The sequence below is a fragment of the Homo sapiens genome, chromosome 5, assembly GCF_000001405.40.
Source record: "Homo sapiens chromosome 5, GRCh38.p14 Primary Assembly".
Classification (NCBI taxonomy): domain Eukaryota; kingdom Metazoa; phylum Chordata; class Mammalia; order Primates; family Hominidae; genus Homo; species Homo sapiens.
In genome coordinates, this window is record NC_000005.10 from 58,714,985 (window position 1) to 58,729,544 (window position 14,560).

The following is a 14,560-nucleotide window of genomic DNA, read 5'->3' on the forward strand; positions in this document are numbered from 1 at the left end:
GAAAAATATATTTTAATTCAGAGCTGAAAAGGACTTAGAAAATGTAGTTTCTCATTTATAAATGAGAAAATCAAAGCCTAGAGAGTCGAGTGAGATAACCAAAGTCACTTTTCTAACAAGTACCAGAGATTCAACCAGAATCTAAGTTTCCTGGCTTCTAATACTATATGATCTATTAAATTATACTTTTGTCTTCTTTTCCACAAAAACGTATTTAATTCCACAGGCTGAGTTTCCTGTGCATCTTTTTTTTTTCTTCTTGAAGATACTACTAGCCTTTTCTCCAGGACTAAAAGTATTTTTTTTTTCCTAGAGGGTAGACAAAGTTGTGACTGCTGATGAGAATAAAAATATTGCAATAAAGAAAAATCTTAGGTGATTTTTTTTCTTTTGCTTTGACTGACCTAAGCTTAAGGAAAGATAATTTCTTGTCTAATTGTATCTTTAAAAGTACGGAAGGGAATTAATGAAGGAAGAAGAAGAAGAATCTTGAATAGGTGGAACATTTTCAGCTTGTTAAAATTTGTGAGTTTTGATGTTGTGATTAAAGATTTTAAGTGCCGGTGACACAGTAGATTTTGGAGAATTTCATTGACTTTAGTTTTTTGCACAAGTTAAATTCGAGATATCTGTGTGTCCCATGATGAAAATATGGTTCTGGAATACAGAAGTGTAGTCAAGGTTTCCTAGTAAGCGGACTATTATATTTATAGATTACATTTCAAATTGTGAAGAAAGTGTAGTATCTGGTAGCATCATACAAGACGATGAGAGAGAATGAAGATCAGAAGCCTGTACAGCACCATGAAGAGGTGAGCAGAAAGGGAAGCTTGCCAATCAGGAAGAGGAGCTCGCCACATGAAGAAGAAAACTTAGAGAGACTAAAGAATCAGGAGAGCGTCATGCCCTGGAAGAGTGAATTTAAAGAAATAAGGGGTTAGTTACATATGTATACATGTGCCATGCTGGTGCACTGCACCCACTAACTCACATATGTAACTAACCTGCACAATGTGCACATGTACCCTATAACTTAAAGTACAATAAAAAAAAAAGAAAAGGAAAAAAAATAATAAATAAATAAATACATAAAAGTCTTTCAGCAGGAAAAAAAAAAAAGAAATAAGGGGTTATCATCTATACCATGTGTTTTAGAATAGACAAGTAAGATGAGAACCAAAAGTTAAACTGCTGGATATGGTAGTGATGAGGTCATTGATTATTTTAGCATGAACAATTTCAGTAGAGTCTTAGCACTGGACACAGCTACAATTGGTTGAAAAATGAATGGGGTTTGAAATAACGAAGCTGAAAAAGATCTAAAGCACATACATGAACAAAGGTTCAAAAGCGAGATGATAACATCAAACAGAAAGCCAAAGTAAAAAAAACTATAACCTAACTTCTTCACTATTCAACCTAATATTCAGAAAGAGGACTAGACTTTGGATATTTGAGAAAAGCTGATCTTTGGTATGACCTGTGTCACCTCCCAGCACTGTGACTTAGAACTGGCACCTAACCTCTTTATTTCTCAGTTTCATCATCTAAAAAATGGTCTACTGCTTCAGAATAAATAAATGGCATGATACATATGAATGTGCATATATGTAACACCCTGTTTAAGTCTACATTCTTGATGTTGTTTTTATAATATTTTATTGGTAGTTTGCTCGGTAAAAAGCCTAAACTTGTGGTATACTTTGATGTTTTATCTAAACCCTGTTTTTGATCGTGCTCTGCCCAGTCACCTGTACCCATCCCCAAACCATGACTCGAATAGATCTCATAGTATTTCCAGTCATTGTTCTCTTATTAAAAAAAAAAAAAAAAACAACTCAGGCAGAACACAGGGGACTTTTAGGGCAGTGAAACTACTCCATATGATACTATAATTGTGAATTCATGTCATTACAAATTTCTGCAAAACCACAGGATGTAAAGCACCATGAGGGAACCCTAATGTAAACTATGGACTTTGGGTGATAATGATGTGTTACTGTAGGTTCATCAGTTGTGACAAATGCACCACTCGGGTGGGGGATGTTGATAGTGGAGGAGGCTATGCATGTGTGGGGCTAGGGTGTTTATGAGATATCTCCGTATTTTGTTCAGTTTTGCGTGAACCTAAAACTGCTTTTTAAAAAGTTGATTATTAAGACAGAAACAAATCTCAGTACTGTTGAGCCCAGTTTAAAAAGGCAAAATTGTCATATCCAGTTTAACAATAATATTCTTCCCTTACCATAAATCTGACTATATTCTCAGCGACTGGTAGTACAATCAAAAGAGCAGTTTGATCCTCCCTTTCTGTCCCTTCTTTTTGTAGCTCTTGCTGTTTCAAAATCAGGGATGAAGAAGAGCTGGGAGATGAAGGGAGGGCAGATGACTGTACGTAACCTGATGTGCAATTACAATTCTTTCTTGGCTTCTTCAGTGAAGCCTGTCCTGCCACCCACAGGACAAGCTTCTGTGTGACAGACATCTGAATGCTGGTCATCTGAATGCTGGTTCCCTTATGGAGGACCTTCAGGGAGCCTGTTAGGGCTCTCTCGCTGCATAGTGCCATGACATGGAAGATTTGCTCAGATTCCTTCTCTTTTAAAATTTCTTCAGCTCCCTTCTGCCCCTGTTAATATACATCATAGCTTTCCACACCTCATCCAGGAGACAGCTCTCTTGGAGATGGCTTAATGGCAAAACGTCTCAAGTGCAGCTACCTGCTGTAGTGTTTACAGATCCATGGGAAACTCACATAATCTAGCCATGCTAGCCTGTGGGAAATCAGGCTTCTCCACTGCCTCCCCTTCCTCAACCCTGCTGTCTCTCTCCAGGTATCAAGTACTCTTGCACAAAAGCCGATCAAAATTTCATTGTTTAAGCAGATACTATTCAATGAGCCCAATCGGCACATGGCTTTGTGTGCATGAAAGTGCCCATCCCTTTACAAAGAGTCTGGTTTGAGTCTTAGTTGCCTATTTTAGGGCAATAGTAAAAGTCCCATTCAAAAGCCTGTTATCCTTTAAAACGCAATGCATTTGATCTAATGCAAGCATTTCTTATTGTGTTCTGTGAAGAAAAACAATTCTCAACCTTGACTAAAAGCTGTAAGCTGCCTGCATTTATGTATTTATCCTGCAGGTTTTGAAAAAATTGAGTGTAATCAAAATCCCACTGGGAAAAAGTATGTCAAAAAGATTAATTAGAAGGAAAGCAAAAATGATGTCTTCTCCTGCCTTTGTGTTAAACATTCTTAGAAAACAAGCACTGAAATAAAATAAGTAAAGATGCCTCTATATACTTTCGGCTGTAAATTTTATTAAGGTCTTGAAGAGAGTTCCTCTGAGTGTTTAAATAGCATTTACTGAAAACCATCTCCAACTTTCATGAGCAGAAACATGCAATTGTTAGATCTGTCAGGGTATTACTGAAAATGGAGTCAAAGGCCCCTTATAAAAAAGCTATCTATGGCTTTTCCTCTCTTCCAGGAAAGATGAATTGCCATGGTAACACTGCCATGAAATAATAGGTCAGGTTTTATCCTTCTGCCTCAGGCTTATTCTATTAGGTTTTACTTAGAAGTGGATGCCATTGTAAAATGAAGGTTTTTGGTATTTCAAAACTAAACATCATGACAAGAAAAATCTGATCAATAAAATCTGCTGGTATGAAAAGGTTGGATAAAGGACAACAGGTAGGGAGTTAAACTGATTGGAGAACTATTTAGAGGCTGGTTTATTAGTACTCTTCTAAAATGTGGGCTTGTTTCACAGATGCTTGTATAACTGAATATGCATAAATGAAGCCAGGCTGACTGCACAAGATCAGTTGGGAAAAGTGGTTTGTAAATTTTATTTTAATGGAGGATTAACTGCTCTAGGGAAAAAGTTTCCATTTCATTCCGAATGAAACAAGAAAGCATAAAATATTTAAGCTTCCTATTTTTCTTACTATTTTTAAAAGACAAATTCAATACTGTTTTGTGCCTATTTATGGAAATTTCTAAAAATGCAACTTGGGAGAAGTATTAATGACATTACACAAACAACATGGTGTGTAATAATTGAAATTCTGTTGTTTCTGTTGTTTGGGGGAGTTGTGTCTCAGTATATGCGTCATGACTTTACATTTTTCTGGAACAGTATCTCAATCATTTTGGGATGAAATTCCAACAGAAACTAATATATATTTTTTGTCATATCAAGCAACATTGCTCTGTCCTTCTAATAGGACATACATTAGAATAAGAGAGAAATAGATATCTAGTTTTTAAAGTAACAAGATATATCAAACCAACTTTTTTGAAGAGTTTCATTTAATTTAAATGTAAGTTAAATGTAGAACATGGTAGTGGATTTTAGCATAACATCTTTCCTGAATTCACACAGTGAGACTATGTCTGACTTCTCCATAGACCACCTTGAATTTTCTGTAGTTTTTTCTTCTGTAAAGTACTAACAGTGTGTGTGGGTAGCTCTGAGATTTATATTGCCTTCAGTCTGATCATGAAGATTGCAAAGTGGGGTCAGTGACTGTGCTAGTTTCCTAGGGCTGCTATAACAAAGAGGCACAAACTGGGTGGCTTAACACAGCAGAAATTTATTGTCTCACAGTTCCAGAGGCTGGAAGTTCTAAATTAAGGTGTTAGCAGTGCCATGCTGTCACTGAAGGCTCTAGGGGAGAATCCAATTCTTGGCAGTCCTTGTCTTATAGATTCATCAGGCCAGTCTCTGCCTCTGCCTTTACATGGCTTTCTCCTCTGAGTGTTATATCTCTAAAGTGTTATGTATATAAAGATTAGGGCCCATTTTAATCCAAAGTGACCTACCTACTGGGTACAGGGTATACTGCTTGGGTGATGGGTACACCAAAATCTCAGAAATAACCACTAAACAACTTAATTCATGTAACCAAACACCACCTGTTCCCCAAAAACTTATTGAAATAATTTAAAAAAGGAAGACCTCATTTAATTTGGTTACATCTGCAATGACCCTTTTTCTAAATAAAGTCACCTTCATAGGTTCTGGGGTGAGGAATTCAGTGTATATTTCTGGGGGACACAATACAACCCACAGCAGAAACTGAATTGAGGGACTTCGACACTAAATAAATTATCTCTATTACAATTTTAAATTGCTATGCTGTCTAGTTCTTTAGGGAAATAAATGGTGATATTACTTGAGTTATGTTTCATTACTAATGGTTACTCTCATTTTCCCTTTCCCTTCAACTTTAAATTTTTGTAGATATATAGAGAATATGGTATTCCTAATTAAGTGCTCTCAATGTGTAGAATTTTAAAATGTACAAATATGGTTAGAATAGGTAAAATAAATTGAATATATACCTATCACAGTTCCTAACTTGTAATAGGTGTTCCACTAAATGTTTATTGAATGAATCAATCAGTGTTAACATTAAAATATACTGAGCATAATTTAATCTGTCTTTAATGATTCAAAACATTTTCTTTGGGCAAAAGGTAACTAGGTATGAATTAAGAGATCCCCACTTGCCTGAGTGCTCAATGACTAAGTATTTATTCTATTTCACTTCTTTATGTCCATTTGGAAACTCATTAGGTTTTTTGTCTTGGATTACACTGTTCCCAGCCCCCATTTCTTTTGACTTTCCCCTTTGGGTTATCACATATTCTTTTCTATAGCTTAATTAAACTACTTCTGTTGAACAATTAACATCAATGTGTTCTGATTTGGTTTCTCCACCTATAAAATTGTCTACTTTATCATGTATCAGGATTGTCTGTCCTTTGATCTATTTTTCTCTGTCTAGGTATCCAATAAATGTATTTTGATCGTGGTTATATTATTTGAGTTGTATTTCTTTACTAACGGTTACTCCCATTTTCCCTTTAATTGAATACAAGGAGAAGTAACCACTAAAACAAAAAACAAATTACATTACAACTCCTACCTTACAAATGACTGCTATTTCCTCAGTTTTAAAACTGAATGTTATTTCTGCATGACCTTAGAAGGTTTTAAGAATTCAGTACATACAGTTTTAAAAAAGAAAGATTTCATTAGAAAAACATTCTAAGGCAGAAACAGAGTGCCAAAATTCAAACCAAAAAAGTTTTAAGCTACTACTTATCAAGCTGTGAATGTTTTCTATTTTATAGTTTTTTCTTGACAGATATTCAAGTATTTGTTAATCAAACTTGCCATTAATGCCAAAATTCCCCTAAAAACATGATTAGGAAATCAAAATATTTAAGCTAACTGAAATAATTTTTTTTTCAAAAAAAAAAAAAAAAGAGGAAAATGAAAGCTGTATCACTCATGGAAGAAAGTTTTTATTTTTTAATCACATTTTTATCCCTCATTTTCTCTCTGATATTTCCAGTTGTTTTTTTCAGTCACGAGAAGCCTACATTTATGGAAAATCAGCAAGTATAACCAGCTATTAGCATCAGCTAGGGAGAGGAACAACACAAAGCCAGGATTTTGAGCCAGCTTCCTGGGCAAATTGGGAAAAGATACCATTTTAGTTAGTTACCTGAGACTGTTCAAGTTTAATTACATTAGTGGCACTTGACATTATAAAATGTTTTTTTCTTTCAGATATAACCTTCTTCCATCATTAGTAAACGTCAATTATAATGAAGTGTTTTTCCCACTTCCTTTTCTTCCTGATATAACGGAAGAAAATGCTAATGAGTTTATAATCCTGAAATTGTTTTCAAAGCCAAAACAAAGTCAGCTTGGTGTCTGTTTATTAGCTTAATTTTATTCTTTATATTTGGAGAACAAATTTTCTCATTTTGTTTCTTACTATATTTTCCCTACTTAGTGCAATTTCTTATTCTCCCTGAGAGCTTTTAAATGATAAATATTACCAATTAGATTGTATTTCTGGGTTCAAATCAGAATGATGTTGAAGATCCTGCCCCTTGCTGTGACTTACGTACTATCTGAAAGCTTCTATTTTTTTTTTCTTAAAAGCTGGTTTTTCCCTCTCTCTTTTTTGATTTTGATACATAATGGCTATTCAATCCATGGGTTCTAACAGTTTCCTGTAACATTTCAATCAGAATATAATGGTGACTTGATTTCTTCTCTCTCAAAGATTAAATATGTCCACATATGAAATTGATGCATTTTATAACAAAGAACAAGTTTCTTTACTGTCAAAATGAAATTAACATCTTATGAAAATGGGACACCATCACTGGAAGAGGTCAAGAAGGAAGAGAGAGATAAAGTCAGTTTTCCAATACAACATTATTCAGTGTCTGTGCTGAAAACATGCTTGACAGAAAAGGTCTGGGTCACCTTTTAGCAGTGTCTTGGTATACTGTTTGTTTTCCCCTACTGAGAAATTAGGGGGAAGCTGTCTATTGTAGTGCAGAGAAGGCAGCAGGCATGGGGTCCCAACCTGTAAGAATGCTGTGTAATCAATGCCAAAAAAAAAAAAGTGTGACCAAGAGAAAAAGAAAGCCATTTAAAGTTACTTTACAATAGGCAAAATAAAAATGGTAAATTACATTTATAGATAATATGTTCTGGAAAATACGAACCCAAGCCAAATGTGGGAAAATTTTAAAATAGACTGACTAGTTATAAGGGGTTATGCTCCCCAGAAAGCTTACACATATCACAAAAGCTTTGCTTATGCTTTTCATTTTAAACAGTCTTTTGAAGTTTGGTCCTGGCATTTTATCCATATTGTCTACCTTTCTTCTTTGTTTCACAGCTGGATATACTGCTAACTGAATTAAATCCAATGAATATACAAGAATATCCAAATAAGTTCAAGAGTTGCTTCTTTCTGCCTAATTTGTATATTTGTCCCAATGAGATACACTTTACGACATCTATGTTTATCCCTAGCATCTACATTTTTATTTTAAAATATTTATAAAATAGTAAGCAAAGTATAATAAAATATTCAAATAGTGGCCAAGTAATTTCTATCATATAGTCATGCAATTATGCAACATTGCATTGTTATGGCTGGGATTCAACTCTTAAATTCATTAACCATTTATTTACCTTTTCAATAATTTTTACTATTAGAATATTTAACTTTTTTAGTGATTTCTTAGCACCGTTTTACATATTAAATATATTAACCTTTGGTCTCTCTGGTCTAATGCAAATATACTTCCCAGTTTATCATTTGATGTTCTATCATTTTAATTCTACTTTTTTTATATTCAAGGGATTGACAGATTTTCATGTGGTGAAATCTTTACTTTCTTTTTTGTTTTCTGCCATTGATAGTATGTTCTGAAAGATCTTCCTCACCTGTTCTACATTATTTCTGCTATTTTGAGTGCTATAATCTGTTTTCATCTTACTTTTGAAACTTTCTTTTCTGTAAAATTACCAAATAAATACCTTGTAATCAGGCCAGCCTTACCCCTGCTCCAAGAGTAGAATATAATTGTTGGCTTCACAAAAAATCACACTCTTAGCTAATTTTCAGTTCCATTTTATAGCCTACATTCTTCCAGAATAATTCACTGATTCCCAGCCTCCTTGGATCACTCTTCTCTAAACTTTCAGGAGCCGAATAGGATATAACACACAAATTGGGAAAGAGTTGTAGGCAATCTTTAGTTTCACACTGCTGTTCATGGTGGGGTGTAAGCATCTAAGCAGGTACACACCTATGGGTGAAGAACAGCAAATTCAACATGAGCCCTTCCCAATAGTGACCTTATGAGACGTTAATTTCATTTTGATGGTAAAGGGAGCTGTTTCTGTGTGCAACATGTTAGTTTTGCCTCCAAGGCCTGTTAAATCTTAGGGGTAGCTGGGATGCACTCTGCATCCAAAGGAGGCATCTCTGGGATAAGAGAGTCCAGATTGATGTCAGAAAGAAGATAATATTTCTGTCCAAACTGCTAAGCATCTAAAGAGTACTAGGAAAGAGAAGTTAGATGCCAATCTCCAGGGAAAGTGGCGAAGAGAGAAACTGAAGAGCATTTGAATTATAAGTGATGCCCCAGGTCCTGAGGAGGGAGTTTGAGTTGAGGAACAATTACTCTAATTACACTATAAGGTATATGTGATGTATACAGGTCCATTTTGGTAATGTATCTGCCTCTGATTCCCAAATTGAACTGTTATATGCCATCTCTCTTTTGCAAATGTCAAACTTCTGTACTTGTAAGCTGCTGTCTTTATCTTGTATTAGCCTTGCTGTCCCACATCTAAGTAATAAAAGCTAGTACTTGCCATTTATTGACCAATTTTTGTGTGCTGCTCTCTGTGGGAAGCACTTTACATGAATTACTTCATGGAACCCTAACAAGCATGCTAAATGTTAGAGGGATTTGGTTTACAGAGGTTCAGTAACTTGGCCACATTCCTCGGCTATCTAATGGGAGAGAAGGACCTCAAATCTGGATCTGTCTGACTCAAACATACATACAAAGCAGGTTTTTTTATTCCCATTTTACAATTAAATAAACTGAGACTGAATTGCAAGCTTCTTAAAAGCAGGGACCTTTTTATAAACTTCCTTTTTTCCCCCCACAGTGGCTTGTACTTGGTAGATAGACAAATGCATAGTGGTGGAGCTAATATACTCCTCTGATCTTAAACTGCAATAAAAAGCTCAGATTTTAAATAAATATGATCTATCTTTTTATTTTGTTTTCTATAGTCAGATGCTGCTTAATGAAAGTAAACATATGTAGAAGGTACTTTGAGCGGGTTCTTTACCAAAAAAAGAATTTTTCAGAATATTGCAGAACTGCAATATAAAAATCATTAGGACATAAAAGTGGTTTAAAAGAGGTAGCAACTTATCCTAGATCACAAAGAAAAGAACAGAAACAAAGAAACAAATGAAAAAAAAAACCCTCTGCACTTTAACTCCATCCTCCCACATTCTGACTTTGTGTTATTACAATTTACATATATTTATATTGCCTTTCTCTTAACAGGTTGCTGTAACTACTGTTGTTTTCATAGATTTGTCTTTTGGGCTTCATACTAGAGTTATGAGGGGATTGCCACCACAATTGTACAGTATTGTCGGTTTGTCTATGCGCTTAATTTTACCAGTGGGTTTTATACCTTTAAGTGTCTTCTTTTTGCATATTAATGGAGTTTGTTTTCAAATTGAAGAACTCCCTTTAGCATTTGTAGATGGGTCTGGTGGTGGTGAATTTTCTCAGCTTTTGTTTGCCTGAGAAAGACTTCATCTCCTTCATAGATAAAGGATATTTTTGCTGGCTACAGTATTCTTGGATGGCAGGTTTCTTCAGCACTTTGAAAATGCAGTCCCACTCTCTCCTGGCCTTTATGGTTTTCATTGAGAAGCCTGTTGTCAGACAAATTGGAGCTCCTTTATATGTTATTTGCTTCTTTGTACTTGCTGCTTTTAGGATTCTCCAGTTGTCCTTGACCTTTGAGAGTTTGACTATTATAAGTCTTGGGGTAGTCTTATTTGGGTCAAATCTGTTTGGTATTCCCTGACCTTGCTACCTCTGATTATTTATCTCTTTCTCAAGCTTTGGAAAGTTTTCTCTTATTATTTCTTTAAATAAGCTTTCTATCCCTTGCTCCTGCTCAACTCTTTTGAATGCCAATAATTTTTAGATTTGGTCATTTGAAGTACAAATATAGAGTTTGGTAGAAGAAATAAGATGTAGTGTTTGATAACTCAGTAGGGTGACTATAATTTACAATAATCGATTGTATATTTTAAAGTAGCTAGGAATGAATAATTTGAATGTTTCTGCATAAAGACAAATATTTAAAGTGTTGTATATCTTAATTATACTGATTTGATCTTTACAAATTATATAAATCTATTAAATTATTACATGTACCCTGAAAATATCTACATCTATTATGTATCAGTAAAAAAATCATTTTTAAAAATCATTAGGGGAAACAAGACCAAAAAAGATAGACAGCTATACACAACAAGTACATTTTAGACTCTATTGTGACTCTTTTTGGAATTATTAATCACTTCCCAAAAATGTATTGCCTTATTTCTGAGAGATTATCATTTTTTTTTTATTCTTTAGGACACAGCAGGCCAGGAAAGATACAGGACTATCACCACAGCCTATTATCGTGGAGCCATGGGCTTTATTTTAATGTATGACATTACAAATGAAGAATCCTTCAATGCAGTACAAGATTGGTAAGTCAGAGCAAATACTCTTATTACTGATAATGATGGTTCTCCGGTCAACTCTGTCTTTCTTCCCAAAGCAGTGACCATACCGCAATGTAATATATGTGTTTACATTACACTACAATCCCGCTTGTGCTTCATTTAAAAAAAAATGCTGTTTATGCACAGAAGCATTATTCAGGGATTGATAAGAAGTCATTCTGATGATTTTTCTGCATTTTGTTCATTCCAGTGCTTTGCATTTTGTCATCATCGCTTCCATGGAAACTAGTGCATTGCTTTTGATTTTTTAAAATATAAATAACGAATGGTTTGGAAGTTTACTGATCTAAAATAGGGATCTAGAAACTATGGCTCTTGCGCCAAATCTGGCCCACTGCTTGTTTAGTAAATCAACTTTTATTAGAATACACTCCCCTCACTGTTGTCTTTGACTGCCTTAACACCACCACAGCAGAGTTAAGTAGTTGCAACAGAAACCATATTGCCGGTAAAGCCTAAAATATTTTCGATCTGTCCATTTATGAAAAAAGTTTATGGACCCCTTATCCAAAAGATTTGTTAAATAGGTTATTCAAACTGAAAAATTTTGAAGGACTGAGATAAAGGATAAGATAAAACCAAAACTTTTTCTGACTCATAGCTGCATGAAACTATCTGAAAATACTTCTGACCCTGATGAGTGTTTACGGTGGGGGGTTATTCCTACGGCTACAGTATCCTTCATTCTATCCCACCAGCACCTTGAGAGCAGACACTGAAAAGCCAGTGAGATCTGGTCATGAGCTCAAGCACAGGGCTAAAGAGGACGGTTTTTCTGTGGAAGGAGCGAGAATCTAGGTAGGGCTTTGTGTGACATTAGGAAGGAAATGGAGCTCCCAAAATGGAGTTCCCACTGGTGGTGGCTAGGACTGACTGAAGAAATACCGCACTTTAACTGTAAATATAATCACATATTATCTTATGTAAGGAAAACTTTGACAATACATAGGCAAAACAGACAGCATTCTTTTTTTGTTTGTTTTCTATGATAATATTATCCAAAATGATTTTTACATATATATCAGTTCAGTGAGGGTCAGATACTCTTAAAAATATTTCCATTTGCTTTTGCTTTTTTCTTTCCAATTTTAATTGTTCATCTAGGAAGACTTCTTATTTACACACACACACACACAGTTACAATGCAAGAAATAATACCATTGGCAATAGCAATTCAAAAGAGAAATACAGGGTTATAAACTAAAAAAGACAAGTTTAAGATGTATATGAAAACATAAGTATCTTCCACTGAGGAATTCAGAAGAAAGCTTAAGTAACTATTCTTTTTAGTAAACTGAATGTTGTAAATACACCAGTATTTCTCAAACTAATTTATAAACTCAAGGCAATCTTAATTAAATACAGCAGATTTTGTACAAAATGAAATGAAATAGAAAATCCAGAGATAGGCATAAATCTATATGAGGATATAGTTGATGATAAAAGTAGCATTCAAGTTAGTGACAAAAAGGTTGGTTCAATTAAGAGTGTTATGATATCTAGTTAATTGCCACAGATAGCCTGAAACACATATTGCTATGTAATATGGTAATTTTAACCTTGACTACTTCCTGTCTTAAAATGTTGAGATCCAGGAATCCCAGGCCAGAAGTGCTATTATAAGTTTTCCAAAAGAACAAGATCTTAAAAACATGGAAGACCTCTGCCCAAAATTCCTGCCTCATCAATGCCTGCTGAATTAATTAAAACTTCCTCAGCCTGACTTTCAGACATACCACGTAATGGTGCCACTATATCTTCATGCCTTCATCTCTTACTATTCTAGAAGCAAACTAAACCATTCATTGTTTCTGAAGCCCAGCTTAAACTTTCCAACATTTGTGCTTCTTTTCTTCTATCCTTTTTTTCTCTGCTTTGCATGTCTCTTTCCTCAATCTGCTACTCCATCTGCCCCAAGGCATATAGATTTGTCAAAAACCAACAAAAGCCTGTTCTAGAAACAAACCCTTACCTACTTTTTTCATCCAAAATTAGATGATCACTTGATTTATTAGGGTTTTTTAATTCATTCAACAAGCACTTATTGAGCACCTAACTTTGACAGCCAATCCATCAGACATAGCGTTTAGTACCTATGCCAGCATTTACTATCTCAGTTAATAGATCCACCATCACCCAGTTATCTGATGTAGAAATATGAGCACTGTCTTTTATTTCTTCCTCTTTTACAAATAGAATCTCATTGACCACCAAGTCCAATCATTTTGACTTTCTAAATGCCTCTCCAATCTATTGCTCTTTTTTCTTCCTATTGCCAATGTGTTAATCCAAACCATTCATTTAGGAGTCTTTTATCTTTTCTCCTTATCTTCAGGTTCCACCCTCTACAGGTGATCCATCTTATTGCCATCAGAGCTACATAAGTGAACCTTAGTACATCTCGGGCCTTAAAAATAAAACTTCCAGTAATATCTTATTATGTACAGTAGCGATTCTGGGAGCACATGTTAATCACCTGTAGAGCTTTGACAACATATACAAGCCCAGACTCCACTCTGGATCTACTAAATCAAATCTCCCGTGAGATACACGGGCATATGAATTTTTCAAGGCTCCACAGGTGATTCTGAAGCCCATTTCTGGTTAAGACCATTGATTTATAATGAAATCCAAACTCACTAACATAGTGGACAGTGCAACCTCCAGGTATCTATTTCACTGACATCATCTCCTATGACTCTCTTCCATACGCTCTATGTTTCAACTAAACAGAAATTTTCTCAGCTTACCTGAACTCCATCCTTTTACTACCTCTGTTTCTCTGCCTGAAATACTTCCTCTGTCATCTTTAAAAAGTCTATTTACTTTTCAAGGCTATCTCTTTTACAAAGCTTTAAAAGATTAAAAGATATCTCTACCCCTTTTCCTACCTGCTCCCACCTTTATTCATAACAGACAACACTATCCACACCCTCATCTCTGCACCCACACTACCCTGGCACTTTCTGCAGATCACGTAAGACCTAGCGGACTCTGCTATTATTTCATTATATTTTCATTAATCATTTTTCCCCATTACAGAATACAGTACAATACAATACAATATATGCACTCTTATTTTTTTCTCATTTCTTTATCGTGGTAAAATATATATAACATAAGATTTACTGTCTTAACCATTTTTTCTGTATGTAGTTCAGTAGTATTAAATACATTCAACCATCACCACCATCCAGCTCCAGAATTCTTATCATCTTGCAAAACTTATATTTAAATGGTAACTCCCCATCACTCTCTCCCTGCACCCCTCAGCAAACACCAACCTGCTTTCTGTCTCTACGATTTTAACTACTTTAAGTAGCTCATATAAGTGGAATCATGCAGTATTTGTCTTTTAGTGACTGGCTTATTTTACGTAACATACTGT

At 34.9% G+C, this 14,560-nt stretch overlaps 1 protein-coding gene across 2 annotated transcripts in view, besides 1 other annotated feature; it reads left to right on the plus strand.

Annotated features, from left to right (window-relative positions):
* RAB3C (RAB3C, member RAS oncogene family) overlaps positions 1 to 14,560 on the plus strand; it is a 277,243-nt gene that overhangs the window by 132,833 nt on the left and 129,850 nt on the right. For both annotated transcript variants that reach the window (NM_001317915.2, NM_138453.4), the window contains exon 3: positions 11,018 to 11,136. In NM_001317915.2, the coding sequence (NP_001304844.1) occupies positions 11,018 to 11,136 (119 nt within the window). The remainder of the gene's footprint in view (positions 1 to 11,017; positions 11,137 to 14,560) is intronic.
* Positions 2,397 to 3,378: an enhancer, noted in NCBI's record as "OCT4-NANOG hESC enhancer chr5:58013208-58014189 (GRCh37/hg19 assembly coordinates)". NCBI's record gives its function as "activates a minimal SCP1, AML or CMV promoter by ChIP-STARR-seq in naive H9 embryonic stem cells {active_cell/tissue: H9 hESC(naive)}" and the evidence as "EXISTENCE:reporter gene assay evidence [ECO:0000049][PMID:30033119]".